Below are 4624 nucleotides of genomic sequence, written 5' to 3' on the forward strand. Positions count from 1 at the left end.
CCGGGCGTGGTTACTCACGCCTCTAATCCCAGCACTTTGGGAGGCCAAGGCGGGCGGATCACGAGGTCAGAAGATCGAGACCATCCTGGCTAACATGGTGAAACCCCACCTCTACTAAAAATACAAAAAATTAGCTGGCGGTGGTGGCGGGCGAGTGTAGTCTCAGCTACTTGGGAGGCTGAGGCAGGAGAATCGCTTGAACCCGGGAGGCGGAGCTTGCAGTGAGCCAAGATTGCGCCACTGCACTCCAGCCTGGGCGACAGAGCAAAAAAAAAAAAAAAAAAAAAAAAACAGATTAAAGGATCAGGAGACAGGAGGATCAGAAACGCTGAAGTTTTAAGAAGTGGGTGGCCAACAGTGTCGGCTGATACAAGGAATACAAGGCTTAAAAAAGTAAGTCCACTGAGGCTGGGCTCAGTGGCTCACACTTGTAATCCCAGCACTTTGGGAGGCCAAGGCGGGCAGGTCACCTGAGGTCAGGAGTTCAAGACCAGCCTGGCCAACATGGTGAAACCCCGTTTCTACTAAAAATAAAAAAAATTAACCAGGCATGGTGGCGGGTGCCTGTAATCTCAGCTATTTGGGAGGCTGAGGCAGGAGAATTGCTTGAACCCAGGAGGCAAAGGTTGCAGTGAGCCCAGATCACACCACTGCACTCCAGCCTGCGTGGTAAGAAGGAGACTTTGTCTTAAAAAAAAAGTCCACTGAAATCAGCATGTAAAAAAAAAACATGGGTAACCTGTCAGGGTAATTACTACAGTGATAAGAACAGTGGACTTAAATGTGAGTGAGAAATGATACAGCGCAGTCAGCTGGAACAAAAACAACAGATGACAATTATTGCCCTTACTTTGAGTCAGAGACTGTTCTAAGTGCTTCTTGCATATTAGCTCATTGAATCCTTGTTAAGTATTTCCATGTTTAAAGCCAGGCACTTTAAACATGGCATGCACCTATAGTCCCAGCTTTTTAGAAGGCTGAAGAGAAAGGATCATTTGAGGCCAGGAGTTCAAGGCTGTAGTGCACTATGATCACACCTGTGAATAGCCAGAGCAACACAGCAAGACCACATCTCTTAAAAACAAAACACTCCATATTTTTTAAATCTCTATTGTTTTCTTGGTTTCACACAGTGGAAAATAGAGGCAGAGAGGTTAAAACAATTTGCTCAAGATCACACACTGGATAATAAAATTGGAATTTCATTCCAGGCAATCTAACTACCACTGCCATAGTAATAAACCATTCTCTTCAAAACTGGGCAGTAAAGGAAGAATGGTGAAACAAAATGCATTCAGCTTTTACTACATGATAGGTGTATCTCGAACCTGGAAATGCTGAATCAGTGGTTTGTTTTTTTTTTTTTTTTGCTTTGTTTTAGCTTTAAAGAGACAAGAGAGTTGCATGCAGCATGGAGGAAAGAGGTAGTAATCTAATAGAAAGGAAGCATTAGAGCAGGGTTTCCCAGCCTCAACACTGTTGTCATTTGGGGCTGGATCACTCTTGGTTCTGGGAGGCTGTCCTGTGCACTGTGAGATGTTTAGCAGCATCTCTGTCATTCACCCACTAGATGCCAGTAGCACCCTTTCCTCCCAGTTGTGACAAAAATATCTGCAGCCATCACCAAATGTCTTCTAGGGGGTAAAACTGTCCCTGGTTGAGAACCACCAGATTAAAATAAGGGAGGACCATGGAGAGAGCAAGTTCTGGAGGACAGAATGGGACCCAAAGAGCAAACTATGTCTGTATACAGTGGCAATAATTTTGCTAATGATCAAACACAAAATTAATTACCTTTATGTCTGGATCTAACAGCTGGTTCTTCAACAACTCAAAGTCATTTGTTTCACCCTTAACAAGAAGGGGAAAGAATTAAGTTATGCTTTTGTTTCCTGTTTAGTATCAACAGCAAGACTTTTAACCGTACTTTAACATCAGATGAAATTATAAAAGGAACACTAACTTTCACATGTCAATTGCGGATTATAAAATCATGACTACAAAAATTTAAACACTCATGTTAGTGCAGCCAGAGGGCTTGGAAAAAGGAAAATGATAAACTACATTTAGCTATACTTCTGTATTGACATTTGAATATAATAGTTGATACTCCTGCGAATTCTCAAAAAGCATGAGGGAAAAAAACAGCCAGCTATAATGATCTAATTCAGGAGGATCTAAAAAAGTATTCACTCAAATATGGATACAAATGGATATTACATATAAACATATGGTTACTTAACATTTTCCCTCTACTGCTGAGATACAGTAGAAATGCTTCTAAACTACCACAAAAACAAAAATCCCTACTCAGAGAACTGGTTTACTGTCCCAAAGTAATGCTTAGGTAAGTTCCTCAAAAAATAAAATGCTGTAGGCCAGGCATGGTGGCTCACGTCTGTAATCCCAGCACTTTGGGAGGCCAAGGCGGGTGGATCACAAGGTCAGGAGTTCGAGACCAGCCTGGCCAACATGGTGAAACCCTGCCTCTACTAAAAAAATAAAAAAATTAGCCAGGTGTGGTGGTGTGTGCCTGTAACCCCACCTATTCGGAAGACTGAGGCAGGAGAATTGCTTGAACCTGGGAGGTGGAGGATGCAGTGAGCCGAGGTCACGCCACTGCACTCCAGCCTGGGTGACAGAGGAAGACTCCAGCACAAATAAATAAATAAATAAAATGGTGTAATTGTTTTTAATTCTGGCACTTGCTAAAGTTAAAAGATGCTTCGTAAATAAAGCATTTGAAGAGGTGAAACCTCAGTAAAGACATTATTACTCTCTCATTATTACCTGTGAAATGGGCCAAGGTGGGGGAAAAAAAGGACACTATTACTCTAATTTTGCACTGACGGCATCATGCTATTATTAAATATTTGATTTCAACTGGTATCTTAATTAATCTTGCTATTTCTATTGGTCTTTAGTATAACAGCAATAGTTGTATTCTGACCTAACCAAAAGCAAACCTCACACATTATCTCCCCTTACCTTTTTGTACTTCAGCAAGACTTCTGTCACAGTTCCACCAAACCGAACAGTTTTTCTTGGGGGAGAATTGAAAAAGTCATTCTCTAATGCACGCATATTTGAAATCCTGTGGAACCAAGATTAACAAGCTATTAAGTTCATGAAAATAATAAAAATTATAATAGCCAACATTTATTGAACCAACATAATTCAGTGGAACTATTGTTAAGGCCTCTTTACTGGTCTCCCTGCTTCCACTCTTAACCAACAATCCTTCCTTTGCTCAGCAACCAATAACTGTCTTCCCACTGCACTTACAGTAAAAATCCAAATCTCTCAGTGTGGTCTTTAAGATCCTACATTAATCTGGCCCCTGCCTACCTCTCTCACCTCATCTCCAACAACTTGTTTTACTACAGCCATAACGTCTTTTCTGCTCTTCAAACAAGCCAAGCTGTTTTTCATTTCACTTACTGTTCACTCTATTGGAAATACTCTTTTCCCAAATCTCTACGTGGCTGGATTTTTTTTTTTGAGATGGAGTCTTGCTCTGCTGCCCAGGCTGGAGTGCAGTGGTGTGATCTTGGCTTAACTGCAACCTCCATCTCCCGGGTTCAAGCAATTATCCTGCCTCAGCCTCCTGAGTAGCTGGGATTACAGGCACCTGCCACCATGCCCGGCTGATTTTTGTATTTTCAGTAGAGACGAGGTTTCGCACGTTGGCCAGGCTGGTCTCCAACTCCTGACTTCAGATGATCCGCCCGCCTCGGCCTCCCAAAGTGCTGGGATTACAGGCGTGAGCAACCGCGCCCGGCCTAGATTTTTGTCTTCATTCAAGTGGAAGCTCAAATGACAGATGTCTTCCCAATGAGAAATCTCAAAAGCTCCTTCTCTCCCTTCTCCCTCCCCCATTACCTTGTTGTATAACTGAAATCATCGTGTTCGTTTATTTATTGGCCTATGTACTGCCTTTCCCCCCTATGCTGTAAGCTCTGTAGAAAGCAGGGACATTAGTGTCTTTGGATAAACCACTGTCCCCAGTGTTTAACACAGTAAGCAGGAGCTCGATAATTATTATGAATCATATTACGCTAATTGTTTTACAAGGTTTGCTTCACTTACACGTAGTAAATTAATGAAAAAACATAGCATCCTAATGACTCTGAAAGTTAAACGCCAAGAGTGCTACGGGGGTTAGGGATTTTAAAAGTGGAGCAAAATAAAGACTGCGAAACAAATACGTGTGTCGAAACAAATTCCAAACAAAAAAGATGTAATATTCAATTTGCCATGAGTGACGACGTTCGGCTGATAACCCACATAGCCCAGGGAAATCCCTTCCAAATTTGGACGAAGAAGAGGGAAGGAAGAGGGGTCAAGGCGCAGAAGGCAGTACCCAGGCCTGGGAAATCACGAAGAGACACAGTCGGGAAAGGGGGCCTCCAGAACAGAGAACATAGTCACTTTTCCAGGCCCCACCCATGTCTATTACCCAGTTAGGAGGAATGAGCTCATTTCTGTGAACGTGAGATGACCCTCCACCCCGTGCTCCTATCACACGCCATGAGCTTTGTCCCACATCCTTTCAATCCGCTCCTCTAAGCGCCGTCCTGAGCTTTCGTCCCAGATACGCAGAAGGAAGCGGCCTGAATCTTAC

At 42.9% G+C, this 4624-nt stretch overlaps 2 protein-coding genes across 11 annotated transcripts in view; one reads left to right on the forward strand and one right to left on the reverse strand.

Annotated features, from left to right (window-relative positions):
- PDXDC1 (pyridoxal dependent decarboxylase domain containing 1) overlaps positions 1-4624 on the forward strand; it is a 178484-nt gene that overhangs the window by 114786 nt on the left and 59074 nt on the right. The window lies entirely within an intron of this gene.
- Positions 1-4624, reverse strand: part of RRN3 (RNA polymerase I transcription factor RRN3) — a 34314-nt gene that overhangs the window by 29499 nt on the left and 191 nt on the right. For both annotated transcript variants that reach the window (NM_001301064.1, NM_018427.5), the window contains exons 2-3: positions 2989-3094; positions 1795-1851 (exon numbers count right to left, since the gene is read on the reverse strand). In NM_001301064.1, coding sequence (NP_001287993.1) covers positions 1795-1851; positions 2989-3094 — 163 coding nt within the window. The remainder of the gene's footprint in view (positions 1-1794; positions 1852-2988; positions 3095-4624) is intronic.

Source organism: Homo sapiens, chromosome 16, assembly GCF_000001405.40.
Source record: "Homo sapiens chromosome 16, GRCh38.p14 Primary Assembly".
Lineage (NCBI taxonomy): Eukaryota > Metazoa > Chordata > Mammalia > Primates > Hominidae > Homo > Homo sapiens.